Raw genomic sequence first — 26,080 nt, forward strand, 5'->3', positions numbered from 1 at the left:
GTGTCTGGAAAGACAGTGAGATTAAACAACTGCTTCAAAAAGCAATGTCTTAAATTGTCCTTGTAGCAATTGCCCATCGGAAGAAAGACCCAAAGAGAGGACATCCAGATACTATTTCATAGATATATTGGACATGTCCCAGCAGAAAACAATGGCATGCTCAAATTGTGTAATAGGAGGGTTTATGATAAAGAGACTCTTTTCAGAGAAGTGGTCAGGGTACAAGGGAAACCACCAGAAAAATCATGTAGCATTTAGTTCTGGCAATTGTGGTACTCCCCATACTTCTCCAGGCCTGAAAAGATGAGGGGAAGGAGCTATTTCCAAGGAGAGAGAGAATGGCGAGGAGAGGTCCCTGACAGGAGGAAGGAGCTATGACTCACAGTACTAGGACCCAGACAGTCTGCATTGCCCCCACAGGAAGGGAGTCAGGGGAATCGATACCCCAATTTCACTCTCATCTGCTCACCAGATCTCTTTCTGGTGCCTCCAACTGGCCAATTCCAACAGGAAGCCAAGGGCAAGGAAGCCCAGCAATGCAGCCAGTGGTCTGAGGGCAGAGCGCAGGGTGGTGAAGAGTGGACACTGGGTCTAGAGGGCTGGTCTGAAGACACACAGTAGATACGATACATGTGTGTATATTCAAGTGATTCAAGTCCAAGAAAAAGAAGACCTCTCTGTAAGGCTTCTTTAGCTAGAAAATTCTATAACTCTAAATATATTTACCTTTTTATTTCATTGCCTGTTTTTCTTTCTTTTATTTTCCTTTCTTTTATTTCCTTTCTTTTATTTTCTCTTTTTATTTCCCCTTGGACCACTCAAGTACTCCCTTAAAAGAATGTCTAAATCCAGGGTAGTAAATGGATTTTTCTCACACATGTCAATACCAAGCAATGGGTTGTACCTGACTATAAGGTAATGTTGAGGATTCGGGGGCCCCACTGGCTTCAACAGGAATGACTGCCATGTTGGTGATCAATGTCTGCCATGGACTCCGGAAGGGTGAGGGCCAGGGAAGTCCACAAATTAATATCTACATGATCCAAAGCAAAAGGAGGAATTAAGGTAATTATCTATGTCATCTGGCTAAAAATAAATTTAACAAAAATATTCTCTTTAAGTATGTATATGGGTATATGTTTATGTAAACTTCAACCTATTTACTTTCTCCAATACAAAAAAAAATTAAGATAAATATCGCATACATTATATCATGTCCATTTCTGGGAGCATGAATAAATTGTCTTGATACTTCTGATTTTATCCTACTGATGGTTTTCATGTTCACATGTACAAATGACATTGATGATGTTACAAAATGACTTGTTATTTTTATGTTTATGTTCTAGATCTGTGCTGTCCAGTATTGTAGCCATGAGTCATATGCAGCTATTTAAATTCAATTAGAATTAAATAAAATTTTAAAACTCAGCTCCTCAGTCACACACACACACACACACACACAAACACACACTTGAAGTGTTCAATAGCCACATGTAGAACAGTGCAAATATAGAGTAGTTCCATCATTGCAGAAAGTTCTATTGGAAGGTGTTGCTCTAGAACCCAAGGCTAATTCTTGGACACAGTGAAACTGATGTGTTTATAAACATCACTTAAGCTTTCAATAATCCTATTATGTACGAGGCAGCAAGCTAAGTCCTTTATAAACATTATCTCATTTAATCTTCACAACCACCCTATGAGGGAGAATTATTCCTGTCATATTACAGATAAGGCCTGGAAAGGTAAAGTAACTCATCCCATAACCACAAGGTAGTAATTAAAAGAGCTCAGATTCAAAACTAGATCTTTCTGACATTAAAGCTCATGCTCTTTACCATTATATCTGCACCTGTGAAAGAAATAACAACTCTATGGAATAATTCACTTAGTTTTGCGTTTAACACCTGAGACACCCTAGAGATATTAATAAAGTTGAAATGACAATTTATTTCCAAAACCAACATTTTTCCTTACATAATAGATTGTCATCTGTTGTTCATAATAAAGCTAAGTATGATATGTTCTTGAATTAACCTTGTTGCTATCTTTAGTATTGTGAATGTGAGTTAATAAGCAAATGAATAATTGTTGTAATACTCATCCCATCCGTCTTAGTCAGGGTCCCATTACAAAACAAATGGCACACTCAAACTGGGCAATTAAAGAGAGTTTAACTATGTGATTATTTATCAAGGTGTGGACAGTGTCCAGGAAAACCAGCAAGGAAAAGTGGATACTTAACGGCGAATAGGAGTGGGAGCCATTAGTACCTAAAGCCTACAGTAGGGGAAGAGCAAGGAAAAGAATACTTCCTAGAACCAGAAGGGGCAGCTGCATGGAGAAGGCATCTGATGGAAGCTGTGGCTTTTTGTAGAGGGACATAGTCAACTTATTGACTCAGCAAGGAGAGAGCCACTTCACTCACTTCCTACCCTCCCAGGTGAGGGCAAGTTTGTCCACTAAGACAGTCCATACAGTGCAGCCTCATGGGGTACCCAGCAAGATGCAGATGGGTGGAGAAGGCATCCAGGGGGACAAATAGAAGATGCCATGCACATTATCTATTAGAGTTATTTGGGAAAAGACAAAGGACAGCCATGCATGAGGTTAATATTAATAGGGATAAGGTTAACCAACACCAGACTTCTCTAAATCACAGAGTCACTTATGGCTAGTTAGATCCTCAAGGTAGAGGAGATGCCCAACCTCAGGGCCAGGCAGGCCATGGGTCTGCTTAGTCTGGAAGAGATTGGTTTTCATTAAATTTTAGTATACCAGTTCAAATAAGTAACTAAATATGGAACTTCCCTGTGGGATTTCCTTCAGGCCATGGCCAAGGATGTGGCAACTATATCATGGGATTAACCTGAAGCCAACAAGCACAGGCTTGATTGTAAAAGCTGCTAGGTTAGTGGTCCAAGAATTGACAGCTAGACTCACAGTATTGAGAACAAGGATCATGGGTAGTCTAAATCCCAGGGCCACTTTTACGGAACAGCAGAATTTAACTTTGGAGACTAATCTTTGAATCACTATCACGTGCCTACTACATCCCAGATACTTGCATTCCAATCACCAGCTCATCCCACGATTTCCAGGCACACCATTTTCTTTCCTGCAGTTAAGACTTGGAACATGATGATCCCTATGGCTGATTTCCCCTCCTTGGCTTGGTCTGATAAATTCCTACTCTAACTTCAAAACCCACCTTGGGTATCACATCCTCTGAGAAGCCTTTCCAATTTCTGTCACACAGACTAAAGGGCTCCCTCCCTGAGACCTCTGTGGCTCTTGACTCACCCTGCCATGATAGTGGGTATCAGAATAAAGTGAAATTAATCTATTCAGCTAGTGGGGAGCTAGTGCTTAGCCTGGAAGAGGTTGGTTTTCATTAAATTTTAGTACATAAGTATCTTTGAAAGGCACTGTATTGGGCATTGTGGGGGTGCGTGTGGGAGTGAGGAAAAAGGGAGATAATAAAGGGTAAATAAAATTACCCATCCCTGCCCTTAGAGACGGGGCTATAAGATAAAACGCAGAATGCCCAGTTACATTTGGATTTTAAATAAGCATACGAAAGATGCTCACATCATATGTCATCAGGGAAATGCAAATTATTAATAAAACAACAATGAGCTATCACTATACACCCACTAGAGTGGCCAAAGTCAAGAACACTGACAACATCAAATGCTGGTGAGGATGTGGAGCCACAAGAATATTCGTTCATCAGTGATGGGAATGAAAACTGATATGGCTCTGTGGAAGACAGTTTGTCAATTTCTTACCGAACTGAACATACTCTTACCATATGACCCAGCAATCAGGCTCCTTGCTATTTACCCAAATGAGTTGAAAACATGTCTGCACAAAAACCTGCACACAGATGTTTATAGCAGCTTTATTCATAATTGCCAAGCTTGGAAACAAACAATGGAACATTATTCAACTCTAAAAAGAAATAGCTAGCAAGCCATGAAAAGATGTGAAAGAAACTTAAATGCATATTACTAAGTGAAAGATGCCCATTTGAAAAAGTGGCATACTATATGAGTCCAACTATGTGACATTTTGGAACAGGCAAAATGGTGGCACCTTTTAAAAGATCTATGGTTTCCAGAGGTTGGAGGTGAGAGGAGATGGAGCATAGAGAAATTTTAGGACAGTGAAACGACTCTGTATGATACTATAGTGGTGGATACATTCCATACATTTATCCAAACCCATACAATGTACAACACCAAGAGTAAATATACCCTTAGGTTAACTATGGACTCTGGGTGATTGTGATATGTCAATGTAGGTTCCTCAATTGTAAGAAGAGTCCCACTCTGGTGGGGATGTTGATAATAGGGGAAGCTATGCCCCCTTATTATCTGGGGGTCAGGGGGCATCTGAGGTATCTCTGTACCTTCCTCTCAATTGTTTGTGAATCTAAAATTGCTCTTTAAAAATTTTTTAAAATCTCTTGAATTTCAGGTGGGCAACAGATAATTTTTAATATAACTTTTAAAAGTATATGCCATGCAGGCAGGGCATGGTGGCTTATACCTATAATCCCGGCACATTGGGAGGTCGAGGCTGGTGGATCACTTGAGGTCAGGAGTTTGACACCAGCCTGGCCAATGTGGTGAAACCCTGTATCCATAAAAAAATACAAAAATTAGCCAGGCATGCTGGCACATTCCTGTATTCCCAGCTACTCGGGAGGCTGAGGCAAGAGAATTGCTTGAACCCAGGAGGCAGAGGTTGCAGTGAGCTGATATGGTGCCACCGCACTCCAGCCTGGGTGACAGAGACCCTGTCTCAAATAAATAAATAATGTGTCATGCAAATAGACTCAAATATTCATGGGATATAGATAAACAAACAAAAACTTTTTAAAGTAAATACAGCTATGTTATAACTATTTTATTTTGATTTTTAAAAAATGAGTCTCTTGATTTAATCAGGGCTTTAGGATCATAGGATATTAGTCACTGTCATAATGATGCATTTATTCTGGGAAAAATTTAACTTTCTTTGTCTTCTTCAGAAACAGCTGCAAGAATGCCTAACATGAAAGTAGTGGCCATCTAGCACACCTTTACTAAAACTGGATTCCCTGGGGCAGACGAAGGTCCTCACTGTAGTTGACAGTACTAATAGACCTTCACATGTGCCGTTTCCAAGCATCATTGCCAGACTTTCTGCCACCACCAGTGTGCTTTTCTCCTCTAAATGCACCTCCAACCTCAGCCCCGCTCACTGGAATGTTGACATTTACAATGCCATAGTTTGAATTTCATCTAAAATTCAAATTTAACTGGCTGTATTTTAATTTGCTAAATCTGGTAACCTTGCTCAAAGGATTCATATTCTGGATTGCTGAAATAATATGTGAATACATGGGCCATTTGTGCTACCAGCCAGGGCATACTATGAGCACAAGAAAGGCACAGCCAGGGAGTGCTACGGGAAGCCCAGAGACAGCCCTCCCTTGCCTCTCAGTACAGAGGATTCCTGCCAATAAACATGGCTTCTCTCAGGCTACTCTGGCTTGCAGAAGCATGGTGCACTTGAAAGCACCCTGGAATTAAAAGAGAAGACCTGGGCTTAAGTCCTAGGCAGGCCACTTATCAGCTGTTTGACATTCAGACAATCACTTAATTTCTTTAAGTCTCATTTTTATTTCCCATACTGAAATGCTCATAAACAATTTTTTTAAAAGAGTGAGGAGTCCTTTTATGTACTTAAGGATTCACACAGGGCCTACCCTGAGAAAAATCAGAATCTTGCTCTAGCATCATCCATTGCCCTCCCTCTTCTGCCTCCATATTGCTAACAAACACTGGCCCCCAGACATGATCCAAACCATGACCCAAACCATCTAATGCTTATGCATTCTGTGTCTCAGCCCTCAGAATCTTCTATATCAGCGATCAGAAAGCTTTTACTGTAAAGGGCCCAATAGTAAATATTTTAGGCTTTGCAGACCATATAATTTATAAATTGTAAACTATTTTAGGGTTTGTGAGTTTCTGTTGCAACCACTCGACTCGTCCATTGCAGTGTGATGAAAGCCGCCATCGAAAAAATGTAAACGAATGAGTGTGGCTGTGTTCCAATACAATTGCATTTATAAACCCTGAATTATGATTTTACATAATTTTCTTGTGTTATGAAATATTATTTTTCTTTTGACTTCCAAAAAGCCTACAGAAATGCAAAAACCATTCTTAGCTCACGGGCAATAGAAAAACAGGCAGCAGGTTGGGTTTGGGCCTGGGCTGTGGGCTGTGGTCTGTTTACCCCTCTTCTTTAGGACTGGGTTGCTAATGTCTGATAAACTCTCCAACTTGGAAGGGTGGTCCATCTCCTACAATTGGTGACCTAGAACAGAGTTACAAAAAGAGCAGATCTGAGTTCTTATCCAGCCCTGGCCTCTGTCGTTAACTTACTATGCGAATCCAGGGAAATTATGTCACTACTTCCTGCCTCATCCTTCATCTGTTTAAAAAAAGACTGGGAGTGAGGGGGCATTATATTTAGCAAGCTGCTAAATAAAGTGATTGGGAAATACAAATGAGGAAAAGAGAGACATACTTAGCAGTGACGGTCCAAATGTTGAGTAACATTAAAAATCATACAGCAAGAGAAATAGAGGAATCAAATTGATTTTCTGAGAAAATTTCCACCACTGCTTTTTACTTCATGGAAAGCAAAGTAATGGGTGAGGTCATTTTTCCTTCACACACAATTCACTTTCATGAAGTTTGCCAAAAAGGGGAAGTTTCTCTCAATAGTGAAGTCCTGATGCCCGACTGAGCCCCAAGGGAGCATTTTTCCACAAAAGCTGTTTCTGTCCCTCTCTGGCCCCTCTCCTCTCTTCCTGCACCGCTTCCCACTCCATCTCAGACTACTGTCCGCAAATCCCACTTTTTCCAGTTATTGACTTCATCCCTTTCTCCTGTGGGATTATGGTGCTAACAAATACCAGGTATATTGCAGAGCCAGAAACCAACACAAAACTACAGGGCTTACCAATCGTTGTTTTGATGAGATGATATGAAGAAACTTTTAAAACTGAAACAAAACCCTTAAAACTTATGAAAATAAAACTTCCAGGTAAACAGTGACACAGAAAACTCAAGTATAGAAAAAAAGAAGGTGCATGTTTTAATAACATGGCTCTTTTGCTGGTGAGACATGGCAATCAACCTTAAATGACAAGCCTAGGGGGATTAGAAAAAGGGCCCTCCAGGTGACACAAGGGGAAAAGATCAGGTTTTGTTAGAAGTAGAAAGCATCCACCAGAACAGAATAATGATTAGAGATAATTACAGTCAATTACAAAGGTGCCAGAGTACTGGTGTCTACCCAGCAAGTTACAGTACAGTTGAACCTCATTTTTAATCACTTCGAATGTGCCACTTTTATTTCTTGGCTGATGAATCTTTCACAGACAATCTCAAGTGTATTTACAGAGCATTTTGGTTCAACCAAGGTCAAAGAAAGTAAGAGACACATTCTCCTTAGAGCCTCATTCTCTCTCAGATGCTTGAGTAAGTGGCTTAAGAGAAGCAACTTGGGGCCAGGCGCAGTGGCTCATGCCTGTAATCCCAGGACTTTGGGAGGCCGAAGTGGGTGAATCACTTGAGGCCAGGAGTTCGAGACCAGCCTGACCAACATGGTGAAACCTCATCTCTACTAAAAATACAAAAATTAGCCAGGCATGGTGGCATGCACATGTAGTCCCAGCTACCAGGGAGGCTGAGGCATGAGAATAGCTTGAACCCAGAAGGCGGAGGTTGCAGTGAGCTGACATCACTACTGCACTCCAGCTTGGGTGATAGAGTAACACTCTGTACCAAAAAAATAAAATAAAAAGGAAGCAACGTGGAGCACAAGGGGAATGCTAGAATTCAGGGCTTGGTCCTGCCTCTTTTGAGGCAGGTAAACACAAACACATTGACTTCTTTGAACCTCAGTTCTTTCATCTGTAGAATGAAGATAATGTCTTGTCCCACTTGCCACATATTCCATCAACTTCAAACAACTTGAAATATAAAAGGACTTTGCAAATTATAAAATATAGGAGTGCTCTTTATGATTACTATTGTGATTGAAGGAGGAACAGTCATTCAGGTCAACTGCTAAGCTATTGACCGGCTGCTTCAGTCACTTGAACAGATGACTTGTGAGGGTTAATAAGCACATGGCTTGGTCACCGCTTAGGCCTGGTGAGTCAGAGCCCCAAGCACGAGGGCCAGATCATGGGCTTCATGGGACCAGCTCATCTGACCTGGACAGCAGGAGCTTCAAAGCTAAAGAAATCTGGGATTGAATCCCATCTCTGTCCATTTCTCACTAGGCAAGTCCCTTATGGGTTGCTCCATCCCTGAAACTGAGAAAATAATACTACCTGGCAGAGTTGTTGTGAGGCTCAGAGATAACACACATAATCTCTGGTGCATAGCAGGTTTTTTCACAAGTAGGAACAAGTGTGGCTAAGGGAAGAGCTGATATCTCTGACCCTTACCAGCTATTCTGCAAATGCACATGGAGATGGCTTACGTGGACAATCCGCTCAGATTCATTCTTACTTCTTGGAAAAAAACCCAAAGACATGGCTTATGGTGATGAGATTTGCACCTACAAATGATAGCACATTATAAACCTACTATTTTCAGTTACTTTTCTTATTACAATATAGTTCCTGAGACACCAGAAAGGAATTTCTGATCATTTGACTTGAACTGGTCATAAGACTGCTCCTTAATCTTATTATTCCTGTGCTCAAAACTGCCAACCCTCCCCATCCCCCAACCCTGCCTCGGTCTACTGTAGTAAATCCTTTCCAAACTTCTACCTCACTTTGCCCCTGCATCAACCCAACATTCAAGCCAAACTGGACATCTCATTATTTACCAAAGTCACCCTCTTCCTGGAAAGCCTGACAGTGACTTAAACCAGGCATCCTGGAAAAAGACACTGAAATGCTGAGATTTGTGTGTAGGAGGCTTACGGGAAAAGCTCCGAGGAACACCTGTGAGGGGCAAGGACAGAGAGATTGGGCAAAGGGAGATGTTCAACCATGATTTGTCCACAGCTGAGGACTTAGCTCACACCACAAAAAGCTCTGGAGCTGAGATGACCCCTCAGAGTTGCCGTAAATTGTGTCAAGGAGCTGTGACCTCTACCTATTGACCAGTCTCTGGAGATGGGCTGCCCCCTGGGAGGGGACATAACTTTTGGATAAGGGCAGTGCTCAGAGAGGAAGTCAGCTGAGATCCATCAACAGCCAGACCTCCCTGGGGAATGTGTGTCTCCTCCTGAGGGGGCATCTGGGCCGCCGCCCACCACACTCACTATTCGACTGGCCAGCCCACAAGGCCCATCGTTGTCCCTGCCTCACTGTGAAGCCCACTCTGACCCTATTTCTCTCCCTGTTCATACATGAGATATGACCAACACACTTGCAAGACACTTCCAGGTGTCTCTTGGTGTCACCACTGAGTTCAGAGGTCACAAAGCTCAAAGCCTATATGTGGTGCCACTTCTCAAAATTCCAGTGAACGCAGAGAATGAGAAACTTATACCCCTCAAAAATATGCCGTGATGTGTAGTATTCTCATAGTAAAAATTTCCAAGATCTCAGCATATTTAAGTATACTGAATATTTCCTAGGGTGGTTCCTCATTTTGTTTATAGGAAAGAATATTTCATTGGTAATGGTACAACTCTATTCTTACACAATATCCATTGGGGTTTTCATTTCCTTTATTTGCTGAATAATTTTTCTTTATAAAGTATTCTGTTGAAAATGTAACAAGAAGTTCTACAGACTGAAAGGAAAATTCAGACTAGACAAGCAGAGTCAAATTAATAAGAAATCTTCCAAATTTTACCAAAGTATCAACCATAAAGAAAATATTATTGTAAAGCAAACCCGGTATTCAGCTTAAATACACCTGTCCAGCTCCCTTACAAACTGAAGAAATGAAGATTAGTGTCATCATTTCACATATTGAAATGATTTATTGGATCAAAAACACAAAAATTGGTGCTTTGAAATAAATAGATTGCATAAATTTTAAAAAATTGAGTGAATGAATGAAGTCATACGCTTTTACCAAAGGGGAGAGATTACTGGTATATAAAAGATATACATAATACTTACATATGCACATTTATAAAAATATATACATTAAATCATATTAGTTTATATACATTATATATGCTTATTTTATATGCATTTATATATAAAATGTGTGTGTACACATGTGTGCATTAGGTGAATACACACACATACATACACATATATCCCTAACAAATTATATATGGCTGTTGTCTTTCGGGAAATTGTACAACTTCACTGTGACAGACAATTGCAAAGTGAAAGGCTGAAGTTTCTCCAGCTCTAGTTCAACAGTATAGCTGTCTACACATCGTCCCTCCAATGCTTCCAATCTACAATGCAAGACCCTACACAGTACCACCCTTAGATCCAGGCCTATGACCTACCCTGCACACCTCAGGTTACCTGCACTTTGGATGTCTTGTGCAAATTTTTCCAAGTCTTCCTCAGGTGTCTGGGATCAGGCACCCCATCCCACACTGGGACTTGCATGAGCTCTGGCCCCCATTTCTCCTTTTCAGGATACTCTCCAACCCTCTGCCCCATTGTGGGGTTGACCACATACCCCAAGGAACCTCTCTGTGGTTATCCAGGCCTGTGATTAGGCCCTGTTCCAGGAGAGTGGCCTGGTAAACAGGTCACCCCTATGGACAAGTGTGGTGTTTATTTTGCAGGATCTCATAATGTTGTGCCAGAGTGGCAATGACATACTGATTTGGGGTGATTCACTCATGTTGGACACAGGATTATTCAGGGTTCTGCATTCACTGCCCATCCTGGACTTGAGTCTGGCTTTTGTGGACCTATCAGTGTTTCCACGGTGGTGCTGCCTCCGGTCTACAGAACCCCAGGCTGGTAGGGCAGTAGCAGGTGTCCTTCATCCTATGCCACTCCCACCCTAACTTCTGGCTCCACCCTTACAGGCTCCTTGCCACATGCCAGATGGTCAGGGGTGGCCTCACCCATCTCTGAGTTTTCTGGAGACTGTTGCTCCACAATGCAAGTGGCCATGGATCTTTACAATAGACGTTCCCTCATCTTATCAATGTGGACCTTGCATTTTCCCACATTGATCTTTTTGTGGGAATGAAACTACTCTTCTCACTAGGCCCATGGAAGGAGAACCCTAGGAATGCAATGAGTATAGCCCAAGGCATTCAAGAAAAGACACACTTGAAAGGCATGTTATTCTACATTTATACTATAAAGATGCAAATAATAAATTTAACATGACCAAAAAGTGAGTTATTGTTCCCATTTTTTTACATACTCTGAGTAAGGCTTGCATTTGTGATAATCATCTAAGAAGCATAGTAACAATCCTAGAGAGAGTCACTGGAGGCCAGTATTTACAGTGTGCACAAGGGAGGATGAGGTGCCATAAGTAATGGTATGACCAGCACTACATAAATGGTTATTAGGGATGTAAAGAGGCAAGAAAGTCTATCCATATTGCTCCCATACAAACAGGCTCCAAAGAGCTGTATGGGTATTATAATACTCTCACAGGCTCTGTGAGTATTATAACATACTTCTCACCTTTTTCCCATGGTGGGAGATTTGAAGTTAGCCAGAAATGGTGTATTTGACAACAAAGAACACAGAGAAGTGGTTTCTGAACCTGAATAGGAAGCAATGGTGCCTGGACACCATGAAGAATCTTTACATGCACTGACTGGACAATAAACAAATATGTAAGTATCACTTCTTCATCCATTATCCTAAATCTTCATTAATAAATGACTATACCTCACATGGGTCCTTGAATTTTATGTGCTTTAATCCAGTAGTTTATATAGATTGGGGTCCTGCAAAAAAAAAGAAAAAGAAAAAGAAAAAGAAATTTCCAGGGCCCTGTAAGTCTAGAGGTGGCCCTGATCCCATATGAGTTAGAAAAATCATCCTGAGACCCAGAGATACCAAATGAACAATGACTTTCACAAGTACTTTTTGAGTGCAGCAAGTTCTCTGAACATTTCCCAGGCTGTGATGAATATCATTATTGGATTTACTTGACGGTACTTTGTAGTAATCCAATGGAACATCTTCCAGTGGAATTTTTGGGACATACATTGACTTATTAAAATCAAAGTAGATCTTAAGAGGCCAATAAAACCAACTCCCTTGCCCCACGTAACTGATATTTCCCCATTTTCTCCATTTTTACCTCCTGTTTGTGATCCACTAAAGTGAAAAATTCTACAATTGTTTTAAATGTCAAATGGAAGTAATTTATATTTACAGATAATCTAGTATAGCACTAATCCAAGATGCTCACTAGAACTGGCCCAGCTGCTTCACCCAGCTGTCTCTCACCTTGAAGTAGTCAAAAACCCACATAGACCAATGAAAATGTTTCCTGTTTTTCATAACCTCCTGAGAAGGAGACTGCATTGTCTCAATTACCCACTTTAATGTTTAGCAATGTTTACACTGCTTCTATAGGAGGCACTCATTCTCCATCTGATGAACCCATCTCTGGATTCATGGTCCATGTCTCTGGGTCCCTAACCACCCAATGACCCCATCCTGTTTATCCAGGCAAAGGAGAATTTTTTGAGGGACAACTAACTTTTCCATGAAGACCTGCCTTAAATCTTTCCGAATTTACCTGCCACTCTTATATATGGACTCAAATTACTTATTTCTTAAAACTAAAAAATTCATTCCCAGAGATATTGGTAATCTCTTCCCTAGAAGAATATTTAACCTCCTTTGACTAACTCTATGTGGTAAGCTGTAAACATTAGTCCATTTTCTTTCTAGTTTTATTTGTTTTGGTTTTTATACTTCTTCCATTTTCTTTTTTTCCTATTTGAAATCAAGTACTCCTGATTTTAACTCATGTGAAAGAAACATATTATTCAGCCTCTTCTTTGTCAAGGGTTTGCTTGACAGTTTTCTCAATCCCTAAAAAGTAGAAAGGTCAATTTCTATCATGCCAGCTTGTAAGTGAGACTCTACTGTGGTAATACACCCCCATTGAGCCCTTCTTTCCACCCTCTAAAATTTCAAAAGAACATGTTTCCCCTCAGATCTCCTCTAGCAAATGCCTGATTGCTTTAGAGGCTTTGGGGCACATTTGACATCGAGATATGAGAAGTGAAAGCTCAAATGCAGTGATTCACATTTGTAGCAGTTATGAATTTTACATGTTAAAACAAAATGGAGCTCTTTTTAATTCACTGTAAATGAGCTTAAATTAGTTCACAAACTCATAGCGGAAAACTTAAGCTCGACAATCAAGGTAAACTTAGTCACTTCCGGTTTATGCCAGTCTCCTTGGGAGGGCATCACCAGTCATTTCAGAAGGCTCCCTTCTTTTTCTTTTTTCCTTATCCCCATGGGGAGATACAAGCTGCAGGAGGAGGCGTTTGAAACTTGCTGGCATCAGGCAATAGGCATCAGGCCAAGGTCATCAGTAGGTGTGATACTCAAAAGGTGTAACAAGCAGTTGGAACAGACACTGACTGGTATACGGTGGGGTCTTCCTGATTAGTGCCAGCTGATGGCAACCCTGCCTCCATCCACAATGGCTTCCAAAGGAGCATGTTCTTTGATCTTTGGGACCCTCACCAGGGCATCCAAGGCTGAACAATCTACTTCCTGCTCTGTTCTCAGGCTGCCGGTTTCAAAGATCACACAGTTGATTCCAGAAGCTTATAAGCTATTTGACATCTAAATAAGAGAAAGGAAAACTAGAATGCAACATGATTAACATTTATAGAAGTTATGGATTTATGTGTTAAAAAATGATAAACCCAAAAGGCCACTCTAATACTCATCTCAGGGGAATGGGAGATGTTTGGCTCTCTGGCATCTCCTGGGACTGCAGGCCTGTTGGGTACTGCTTCAGGCTTTCTCTGCCTAGACCTTCCTATTGCTGCTGCAGAGCCATGCTGGAATGGGAGACTTATCTACAATCATTGCTCCCTTTTCCTAAAGCTTCATCAGCAAGCAAGATACAAGGCAGCAAATGCATCCTATCCTATGCTATCATTAGGTTCCCCAAAGACTTGGCAGGAGGTGGATAGGCACAAAGCACTTTCTCTGGTTCCTCACCAGCCTCTGTCCTCAATTTCTTCTCCTGGCTGCCTTTTGCTTAAACCCCATCTCCCCATAGGCAGGAAAATACTCATGAGCCATTCCTTCCCAATCAGTGGTTTCCATGTGCCAAAAATTCCAGGGTCTTAAGCTTTTGGAGTTCAGGCTCTTGCACTAAAATTCTCAGCTTTCAAGAGTATTGTCTCTTTTAAGGCATTAAAAAATAAATTCAGAAACTCAATTGACTTTCTTATGAGTGATTTTAGCTTTCTCCTAAAGAAATAAATTCCACTGGCATAATGGGTGGAGGGTTGTAAAGAAGTAAGAAAATTGTGAAAAATAAAACAAATAGATATACAAAAAATCTCATTATCTCTAAACTGTATTGGTTGCATACATTTGGGGATAGTTTCTTTCAATATTTAAGACAGAGACCAGAGGCCCATAAAATAATTTATATTGATGAAAACCAGTCAATCCTTTTTGGCTGTTGTAATTAAAATGTACATATCAACAGTTAATAAATAAGATGTGATGAAGATATTTAAAATATAAAATGTCTTCATTTTAAAAATTCTACTCCATTTAATATACACTTGTTATATGACCTCAAGTCAAAAGAAATTCAAGATAGCACAATTATCCTTCCCTTTTTTTTTCCAAAGAAAATATTTCAAAAGACCACACTTCCCACATATGTGGCATCCTATTGTAAAGGCCTCCCATCTGTAGAAGGAAGGAGGTGACTTTAAGGACAGTTAAGATTTTCACACTGAATTTTAACAGCAAATGGCATTAGTCACCTCCCCCCTGGGATGCTGACAATTTGCTTCCTTGTTACACAGTTTAAAAGGAATACCTCCCATCTTGTTTTTTCCCCCAAAATCCAAAGACTAAACACACACACACACACACACACACACACACACACACACACACACACACACAGGTTGAGTATCCCTTATCCAAAATGCTTGGGACCAGAACAGTTTTGGATTTCAGATTTTTTTTTTTGTTGAGCACTCCTAATTCAAAAAAAGAACCACCAAAATCTGAAATGGTCCAATGAGCATTTCCTTTGAGCATCATGTCAACACTCAGTTTCAGATTTGGAAGCATTTCAAATTTTGAGTTTTGAGAGAGAGAGATATATATATACACACACACATTATATATATACATATATATAATGTATATATATTATATATGTTATATTATATAATATATTATTATATATTATAGTATATATTATTATATAATACATACATTTTAATCATATACAAGATATAAAAATACATCATTTATAATTTTGTATCTTTAATAAGAGAAATTTATATATAATCTATTGTATATATGATATATTTTATATAAAAATTCATATACATAAGATATAAAAACATATCTTATATATGAGTACATATGTTATTTATTTTTTATATATATGTATGTGTGTGTATATATATATATATATTCAGTTTCTGAGGGAATATGAAAAATTATGTTTAGGCCAGGCATGGTGGCCCACGCCTCTAATCCCAGCACTTTGGGAGGCCAAGGCAGTTGGATGGCCTGAGGTCAGGAGTTCAACAGCAGCCTGCCAACAAGGTGAAACCTCATCTCTACTAAAAATACAAAAATTAGCCGGGTGTGGTGGCGCACTCCTGTAGTCCCAGCTACTCAGGAGGCTGAGGCAGGAGAATCACTTGAACCTGTGAGGAGGAGATTGTGCCACCACACTCCAGCCTGGGTGACAGAGTGAGACTCCGTCTTTAAAAAAAAAAAAATGATGTATAGTCTCCTGGTAACAAAGGCATCAGCATCTCTATCAGTCTTATAGCCAGGTATATGCAACAGATCGTCCCAGAAGTAAGAGTGGAAACTGGACCCAAGGTGAGGAGGAGGAGGAGGAGGAGGAGGAAGGGCAGGCACTTATATTTGCACAGCATCTCAAAGAGTAAAATAAACTCTTCCTTTGATCTCATTTGACCCTGAAAACAACCTATGCAGTAAGTGAGGCAGACATTATCATCACCCTTATCTAATAGTTAATGAAACTGATGCTCAGAAAGATTGTGTCCCATGCAAGTTCCCATAGCTAATAAGTGAAAAGCTAGGACAACTACAAATCCAGATACTCTGATTCCAAATTCCACACTCTTTTTGTCAAAGCACAATAACATCTCCCATTAAATGAATATAGATTTGGGAGCTGTAACAATTCCCCTGTGAGAGTATTTCAATCTACCAAAAATTTGTCCGTTTTTACATATCTATTGAAGGCTATGGCAGAGACTGCTACTACTCACTTACATGCATATTTCTCCTCTTCTAGGAATTTCTAGAAATGTCTCTGCTTTCCTAGGTAAGACAATATGACTGAGTTATGCACAATGAATTGTGGGCAGAAACGAGGCATGCCACTTTCACGCCTTGTTTCTATGATCACCATCAGCCATGAGCTTTCTGTAATCCCATCTTTCTCTAATCCAGATCTAGAGAAGCCAGTGGAGAACACTAAATGGAAAGGATAAGGGTCCCTGAGTAACTGCATGGGGTAGCAGTAGCCTGTGACATGAGTGAAAAATAAAACTTGAAGGTGAAAGCCTCCAACATGTGGGGGCTCTTTCCTACAGCACTAGTAATTTATCCTAACCAATACAAAGAGCAAAGAAAAGATCATATTTTAGCATGCAGGATGCAGTGACACCAATATTTTAAATGATAAAGAGAGGATGGAGGAAATTGTCTTCAGTTTTTAGTGTTCTCTTATATTTGACACGAAAAATCTTAATGATTGGTTCAGGAGAGGTCCAAGATGGCGAGTCTGTCTCTCTCTCTCTCTCTCTCTGTCTCTCTCTTTCTCTCTCTCTCACACACACACACTGTCACACACACAGAGACAGACATTTTGCTTTGCTTTGTATCACATCAAATTGTTCTTGGATAAGGTGGAGTCAGGCTTTGAAAAGACATAAACATAATTTCAGGGGTCTTCTTGAAGAACACAAAATTACAAATAGAATTAGGCACAAAAGTAAGTATTTATTGGAAACTACAAAATAAATCACAACAAATTACAAATTTTAAATACCACAAATGTAACCAAATCCAAAAAGAGAACTTAATATTTTTCATTAATAAACTGCCTAAGTATATAATATTTATTTTTACTTTTTTGGCTGTATACTCTTTCATCACCCCTTTCTATGACAATGATTTTATAATTTTATAATAGAGAGCACAAAGATAAATACCTTTCTTCCAACATATTTCATCAATATTGTTCTTATTATTGATGGTAATGTCATGTGTACTTTTAGGATTATTGCCAACTTTGGGAAAATCTCAGTCAAGTTTCTGCCATATAAGAGCTGTAATATTTGGAAACATTGTACACAGACTAGCTTTCAACTCTGTATATTTCAATCCTTGTTTCTCCTCTTCAATTTATGTACTTCCAGTGCTGGAGACCATCAGATACACCAATATTAAGACAGAACCTCTGCCCTAAATCCTTGTGTTGTGATGCCAAGTGAGTTGGCACAGTGGAAAATAGAAATGTTCCTGGAAGACATACTGATATGGTTTGGCTCTGTGCCCCCACCCAAATCTCATCTCAAATTGTAATCCTTATAATCCACATGTATCAAGGGCAGGATCTGGTGGGAGGTGATTGGATCATGGGGGTGGTTTCTCCCATGCTGTTTGCATGATAGTGAGTGAATTCTCATGAATCTGATGGTTTTATCAGGGGCTCTTCCCTGTTCGCTCATTTGTTCTCTCTTGCCTGCTACCATGACTGTAAGTTTCCTGAGGTCTCCCCAATCATGAGGAACAGAGAATCAATGAAACCTCTTTCCCTTATACATAGTACTTTATGGGAGTGTGAGAATGGATTAATACACATACTTATGCCAGGATAACTTGCAATAACATAGAAGTGACTGAAAGCCATATAAATGTGTCCCTTTTAATCCATACAAGTCTATCCCCCATTGCACTTTCTCTAAGTCAGATCAAAACAACAAACAAATCTATGGCTGCCCCTGTAACACCTGACAGGAGGGGAATTACAACAAAGGAAAGTTAAAGAGAAAATAATGAACTTAATTGATTGCAGCAAAAATATCTAGAAATTTCCCTAGGATTGAATGTTTTAATAAAGTTTAGGCTGATGTCCAAAGCTAGCATGGTCCATGGCTTTTGGGGTTAAATGCTCCACTCCTAAATTGCAAACTTCATTCAGGAAATTATAAATTGGCTTCATGACCATTTTTGATGAAAACTAAACTTTTTTTAATGTTTTCATCAGATACAATATAATAAAATCTCTTTTGGAAATGGGTCCAATCATTTTCCCAGGTATCTCTCTCTCTCATTGTAACATAGACAGTCTAGAAAATAGCAGTTATATTGAATTTTGTGATCATCCCCAGAAGCTAAGACTGTGCACCAAGGTGCCTAAGGTACATTGTCTATTGGCACCTACAAGTTTCAAAGCAGGCACATTAGCTAAATTATGAAACGCTGGATTTTTAAACTACTTAAGAGTATTGTGAAATGGAAGAAGAGTTGAGATTATCCAGGTAGGTTAGAAACTGGGTGGAATTAATCTGGGAGAGCTCCTTAGGGGAGATGTGTAATTTGGGGCACTATAGAACAGTGGTTAAGCTCCATGGAGGCAGGGACTTTGTTTTGTTCATTGCCATCTTCAGTGCCCACAATACTGCTCAGTATACACCAAGTGCTCAACTTTGGCTTGGATGGAAGGAAGGAAGGAAGGAAGGAAGGAAGGAAGGAAGGAAGGGAGACAGGAAGAAGGGAAGCAGGAGAGAAGGAAGGAGGGAGGAGGGGAAGAAAGGAAGAATGGAAGTATGGAAGAAAGGAGAGAAGGAAGGAGGAAAATAGGGAAGGAAGGGAGGGAGGAAGCGAGAGAGGAGAGAAGGAGGGAAAAGGGAGAAACAGAGGGAGGGAGAGAGAGGAAAGAAAAAGAAAGAGGAAGGGAGGAAGGAAGGGAGGGAGGGAGGGAGGGAATTGGTTGGATGGAAGAAGGATGGTTGGCAGGAAGGAGGAAAGGAGGAAGAAAGGGAGGAGGGAAGGCAGGCCTTTGCACTAGGTAAGTGTGTTTCAGGTTCCTCACCTGTAAAATAAGGATAAAAATAGTCCCTCCCTCATAAAGTTGCAGTGATGATTAAATGAACTAATATACAAATAATTTATAAGAAGGTCTGGTACTCAATGACTTAGTTATTACAATGAATATTTGCCCTTCACTTAGTTCCATGGGGCTGTCATTCATAGCATCCAACAAGAGAGGATATTGTTACTGATTGGCACAGAGAGAAGGAAGCTGAATTAAGAATAATAGGAAGTCTGCCAAGGGGCCTGAAATCTCTATTCTGAAAATTCGTGAGAATTGGAAGATCTGGGATTTGATCTGCAGGCTGGAATGAAAAGAAGAGGGTGCCCTGCAATGTGGCAGGAAGACCCATCTCAAGCCCCAACTGGGTAAACGCAATCAATAACATCCTGTCAGGAACTTTTTGTGGTCTCATGTAAATTTAGGCTACCTGAATAAAAGATAAAAACTGTCATTTCCTCTATCATCATGTAGCGTGATGATTTATCTATGCCTTTGAAAGAACCAAACCAAACCAACTAATGCTTAAACGTTCCTGGTTATATGTGTCCATTGTGAAATATAAGAGAAGAATAGTGCAACATGGTGAGATATTTTAGGACATTTGCCTAGAGGAACACTAGAAGAAAATGAGGACTAATTAACTCAAGACAATGGGCAAGTCATTATAATTATTCCTAAGGCAGGCTAGAGGGAAAAAGTGTCATGGGTTGTTTAATCAACCCTGAACTGCGGGGGTGACTAGTTATAACTTAGGTGTTTTCCAATTAGCTAATACCAAACATTAATAAATGGCCAGCTGCATTCGTAACACAATGCTTCCATATACTTACAGAGAGTTAGTGTAGCATCCTCTTAAAAACTTTAAACTTGACTTGGGATGCTCTGAGAAAATTCTACTTCTCAAAAGTTGTTATATCTTGTTTATTTATCAAACCCATGATCTTCAAAGGCGTTTAGGGTCACAAAGGCAATGTGAAAAACCACTATGGCAGGAACCGAGGGTGATTTTCACATATAGGCAAGTCATTGTGCTCAATACATCCTTTAAAATGGGGACAAGGTTGAGGTCCAGACTTATGAACTGTGTTCCACATAAAAGACTAATTCACAACTTGTCTCCCACCATTTGCAATCTGATCTTGCTCTGAAGGGCAGGGAGTGTCATATTCAACACTATCCACATTGAAAGCCCCTGGTTAAAAGGATGTACAGCAGAGAGCTTGGTGTTTCAGATGATCCTGTGGAGAACTGTAAAAACAAACATCCTGCAGAATTACGAGGAGCAACGGCTTCCTCATTTGGGCTCAGCCTGAAGGCTCATCTCATCTCAAGGTCAGAACAAAGGTTGACCTCGTCTAGCACAGACCTTCAAGACCTAAGTCCTCCGGAACACATACACAGTCTTACTGTGACCAAGTGGAAGGGAAAGATCGATTTTGTTTGTCCTACGCCTCAGCCAATCTCTGAAAAATCTACACTTTGGCTCATTTGTATCAACAATGCTAAGCCCTGTTTTCTTTTCTTTTTCTTTTTTCTATTCTTTTTTTTTTTTTTTTTTTTTTTGAGGCAGTGTCTCACTCTGTCACCCAGGCTGGTATGCAGTGGTACGATCTTGGCTCACTGCAACCGCCACCTCCCAGGTTCAAGCGACTCTCCTTCTTCAACCTCCTGAGTAGCTGGGATTATAGGTGTGCACCCCCATGCACGGCTAATTCCTATTTTCAAAGGCATCTTTCTGGAGTAACTGGGTATTATTTTAGAAAAATCTTCACTTGTTTATCAGAGAGGTCAATATTCATTAAAGATCAAAGTAAAATCATATCCACTCAAACCCCATTAACTAACAAGGATGGGGCATAGAGAAAAGAACTTGATCCATGAAGTTAGATAGACCTTTAGTAAGATCTCAACTTATTAGCAACAGGACCTGGAATAAATGCCTTGACTTCTGAGGGTCTGAGTTTCTTCAACTATAAGTGGGACTGAGAAGCCTCACCTTAAGAGATAATTGTGAGAAACAACACATATCAAGGGTTTGGCACAGTGTCAAAAAATAGTAGGGGCACCATAGATACTCTTATGCTATTATTATTGTTATGATCAACATGAAGATTTTGTGATAATTCAACCAAGAAAACATTAGTAGATCTAAACTCCACTCTTGAAGACCCAAAACTTAGCTGTGTGACTGAGATCAATCAAGTTCGGTTTCCGCACCTTTAAATGAAAATTGTAGTTGGAATCGTAATATAGCATATACTCTCAATGGTGAAACACAAAAACATAAAATTTTTTACAGTTAAAAGCACTCTGTGGAGTGTTCTTTTTTTAATTTAATTTAATTATTTATTTTAAGTTTTGGGATATGTGTGCAGGATGTGCAGATTTGTTACATAGGTCAACGTGAACCGTGGTGGTTTGTGGCTCCTATCAACCCATCACTCAGGTATTAAGCCCCGTATGCATTAGCTCTTTATCCTGATGCTTTCCCTCCCCCGAACCCCCACCCCGACAGGCCCTGGCGTGTGTAGTTCCCCTCCCTGTGTCCATGTGTTCTGATTGTTCAGCTCCCACTTATGAATGAGAACATGTGGTGTTTGGTTTTCTGTTCCTGCATTAGTTTGCCAAGGATAATGGCTTCCAGCTCCTTCCATGTGCCTGCAAAGAACATGGTATCACTCCTTTTTTATGGCTACATAGTAGTCCATGGTGTATATGTACCTCATTTTCTTTATCCATTCTATCATTGATAGGCGTTTGCGGTTGATTCCATTTCTTTGCCATTGTGAATAGTGCTGCAATAAACATATGTGTGTGTGTATCTTTATAACAGAATGATTTATATTCCTTTGGGTATATACCCAGTAATGGGATTGCTGGGTCAAATAGTATTTCAAGTTCTAGATCCTTGAGGAATCTAATATTGTTATCATTGCTGGTACTGTCAGAATGGTCAAATACCCTCTGAGTTTGTGCTTCTGCTGCTTTTTCTGCATGTTTTCAGCCGAATGCACCAGAGTCTTAGATTCCATCAGCTAGAGACTACCAGCGTCATGGGGGCAAGACCAAACCGCTTTTGCTCCTCATTTGGTTAAAACATGGCATTTTTTCCAAGCTAAGATTTGACACTACTAAAAAGAATGCGGTAGGTGCTCTCGAGTGAAACGTCTGAAGCAATTTCTCCCCCTGGAAATGTCCAAGAGAAGTCCTCACTTATTGAGCCGAGCCCAGTTGTCAGGGATGCCTTCCTCCATCACCTATGTGGTCCTTCCCTTCTCAGTACTCCCCGAGCTTGCCTGTTGCCCTTTCTCCTGTTTCTGAGCCTTCTGGGTGTGTCTTGTCTCCAGTACTCTTCTTGAGGCCAGGGTCTGTATTTTCATGTTCCTTGAATCTTCTGTGTCACTTCCCACTCCTCTTCATGTGCTATTGGTTGATTAATTCTAACCTCTGATATATGCTTCTTTTTATCTACTCATCACCTGTCTAAACTTAGCAAAATTGTCCAGCAAAATAATGGAGGAGCCTGAGTTCCACCACCTGTTGAAAAGAATAACACTTCCTAATGATGAAAATAATGGCAATTATAATAACTCTTACTGAAAATTTACAATATCCCAGGCATTATACTAAGTGCTTTACTAACATGACTTCATTTCATCCTCCCAGCAACCTCATGAGGTAGCTATTGTTACCTCTCATTTTTAGAGAAAGAAACAGAAGCACAGAATAAAATAACTTACCCAAGCAATAGAGTAGTCTGTCTGTTTGTGGATTTGGAGCCAGGATCCTGACCCAAGTCCATACCACCTCAGTATCTATAACCCTCTGGTTTTTACTGCACCAAACCAAAGCTTTAAAATTTACTTTGGAACATCAAAGTCCTTGCATATAAACCTATTGCTAATTGGGAGATTTTGATTTGTGGATTTGTATATACATCTAATTAACCTTTCTCATTTTATGAACCAAACCCATCTGTAACATGCATTGCCTTTTAAAGAATGAAACTGTCCTAACTCATAAATATCCCGTTTCTTCAAATTGTACCGAGGACAGGGATTGCTTCTTGTTGACAGGGTCAACTTATCCATTAGGTACGGCAGATGCAGTGCTCACATTCCACAATACTTTTACAGCGCCCATGAAAAGTGTTTTAATTTCTTTTAAAATGAGAAGAAAAAAACGAGCTTTCAGGTGGAAGGAAATATTGTGACATATAACACGAACACATTTGTCTGTATATCAGTGTAGCCATAAAATAGAATTATGTATTTATTTATCTTTAGGAAGAAGAAGGCCTACCATGGCAAAAGTGCCTAGGACCCCTGAAGTCCTAGTGTGGCTCGGCCTGTTGCCCATGCAGGGTTTACCAGAGCTCTCTCTTCTGGTGGAACTTCTCATAACACCTTCCTTTGCTGCCCCTACTATCAGGTTTCTGCTGCTTTGTGACATCAGGCTCTTCCATGTGGATTTCAAGTCCAACAGGGAGGCCTGGCTGGAAAAAATCATGACAGCTGCTTTTTAGCATAAATAGCACACAGCGGAACCCTGGTGTTAAAGGGTGGTTTCCTTCTCCCTTTCCACATCATGAGGCAACATAGCTGGATGGCACATCTAGACCACTCACCACGTGAGGGTTTTCTGGCCACAGATAGTCTTGCCACAGGAAAATAGGCCACAACAAAAAGGATATTTCAGAGAGGAAATTTTTGAAATGGCAGGAAAAAAGGCATCTTAGCTGTTTAGCAAGAATGCTCTTAAGTTAGGGTTCTAAGAAATGCACCTGTCACCACCAATTATAATGACAGGCTCCCAGAAAGCCTGGAGGCCAAGGTCCTAGAAGGGAAGACTGTCCCCAGATGGAGACTGCTTTGTGTCACTTCTTTCCCTCCTCATGCCCGTAATCTTGAGCGCTTTTTAGCAAGCTCAGAGATTCCAAATGTCTACCGAAAATACTTACAAAGCTTGAGGCAAGTCTCGGGTTAACATGAGGACTCAGTGAGGGGATCAGTGTCATCTTGACCCCAGCTGGACTGGGAACTCACTGAGAGCTGTGGACTTTAACTTTTGTTTCGTTTGAACTTTAGCGACCTTTATCCCCAAGTCTGGCCTGTGAGTAATGAATACGAAGCCTTCCTTTCAGCCTCTTGGTTTAAAGAAAGAGGAAGGAAACAGTCCATTGTTTTTCTAACTTCGCAGTTTCCTAGTGTAAAATGGAAAATTAAGGATGGCCAGTGAAAGCGGCAGGCATCGCTATAGAAGGACATCCGGTGAGGCCCAGGCCTGCAACAGACGGGCATCTGTTCACCGTGGGGCAATGGGGGACGGGACCGAAAACAAGCCGAAGCAAGTTTCCTTAGCAAACGGACGTGAATACTCACTATGGCCAACTCTTTCCTCCAAAACCTAATGTACAGCCTGTCTATCCTGTGTCTGGAACCCAGGGAAAGGAAACCTCGTTAGATTTACAAAAGTGGGAAAATATACCAGAGCAGCAGTTTCCTCCAGCTCCAAGAGAGATTTTGTTGTACCCGGAAGGCTAAAAGGGACAAGAGTAACAACAAAAATATTTTTAATATTCTGTTCTGTTCATCCACTAATGTGGTCAAAAATAGCTCTCAAGTTTGTCCAGCACAATTCGACCTTCATAATTATGTGGGTGATTATGGGGCCCTATTAGAGCTTTCAAAACACTTTGTACATAAGGGGCCTTTAAACATTTTACTATAATAAAAACTAGCTCATAAAAATCCCACACATTTCACATAGGCCTTTGATAACCCATCACACAATAATGACCTTGAGTGACTAACAGCCTGTACTACATTCAAACAGGTAGCTTAGAGGTAAAAGGTTTTTTCTCTTATTATCTCTGTCTGGAGTCACCCGGGGGCTTAGAAAAAAAAAATACTAGCTTTGCCTTTAGAAGAGCAAATTCGATGAGTCATCAGAAACAACCTCTTTCTTCTTTGGCTGCTTCTTCTTGCAGGCACGTTTGTCAGAGTGGAAGGCATGGATCAGGGCACAGGTGACTTGGGCCCCAACCCCAGTCTGGTAGCCACCTGTCTGTGGAGTCTGAGGTCCCTTCCTCTCTCTGTGCCTTGGTTTCTCTTCTGTAAGGAGAGGGTTGGACTAGAATCAGTGGAGTTCTGTGCAAGCACTCTAGGGCCTTCAGTTTGGGGAAAACCAAGCAGGGAGGTGCTACCCACCTCCTCTCAATCAAAGCAGACCCCTCTATATTTTATAGACAGGTTTATGAATTATGTTTTATTTGGAAAAAAAGTTTGAAAGCCATTATATGAGATGATCTCTCTAGGGCACCTTTCAGATTGTGAATCTATGAGTGCCAGCAGCCAACCTTGGGTGAGCTGCCCTTCAGGTTAAACAATTGCTGGGGGGTTGGAGGGGTCTTTTCTAACCCATCAGTATCCATTAATGAATGAATAGGGATGATTTTATCCTATTTAGTAGAAAGTCGAGTTCTGAAGAAACAGGATACAGAAGAGGTAAATCTTGATATGGAAATCAAAGGAAAGAAGTGTGGAAAGATCAGAGGAGGCTGAGTGCACCATAGGGCCTTGCCTTAGGACAGCAGGCCTCAGTGGGCAGCTCAGCAGATGGTAATGGGTACCCAGGGACCCCAGAGAGGGCACTGGGCAACAGCCAGAACCACAAGCCTTCACTGACCACTGGCTCTCACACATGCCATCTTAGCCTTTACAAAGGACTAATCATGCCCCCATTTTCCAACTGCAGGAACTGAGGCT

General features: G+C 40.5%; 1 pseudogene; it reads right to left on the reverse strand.

The window, feature by feature from the left end:
• Positions 4,883-5,287, reverse strand: ALDH7A1P4 (aldehyde dehydrogenase 7 family member A1 pseudogene 4; annotated as a pseudogene).

The sequence above is a fragment of the Homo sapiens genome, chromosome 10, assembly GCF_000001405.40.
Source record: "Homo sapiens chromosome 10, GRCh38.p14 Primary Assembly".
Lineage (NCBI taxonomy): Eukaryota > Metazoa > Chordata > Mammalia > Primates > Hominidae > Homo > Homo sapiens.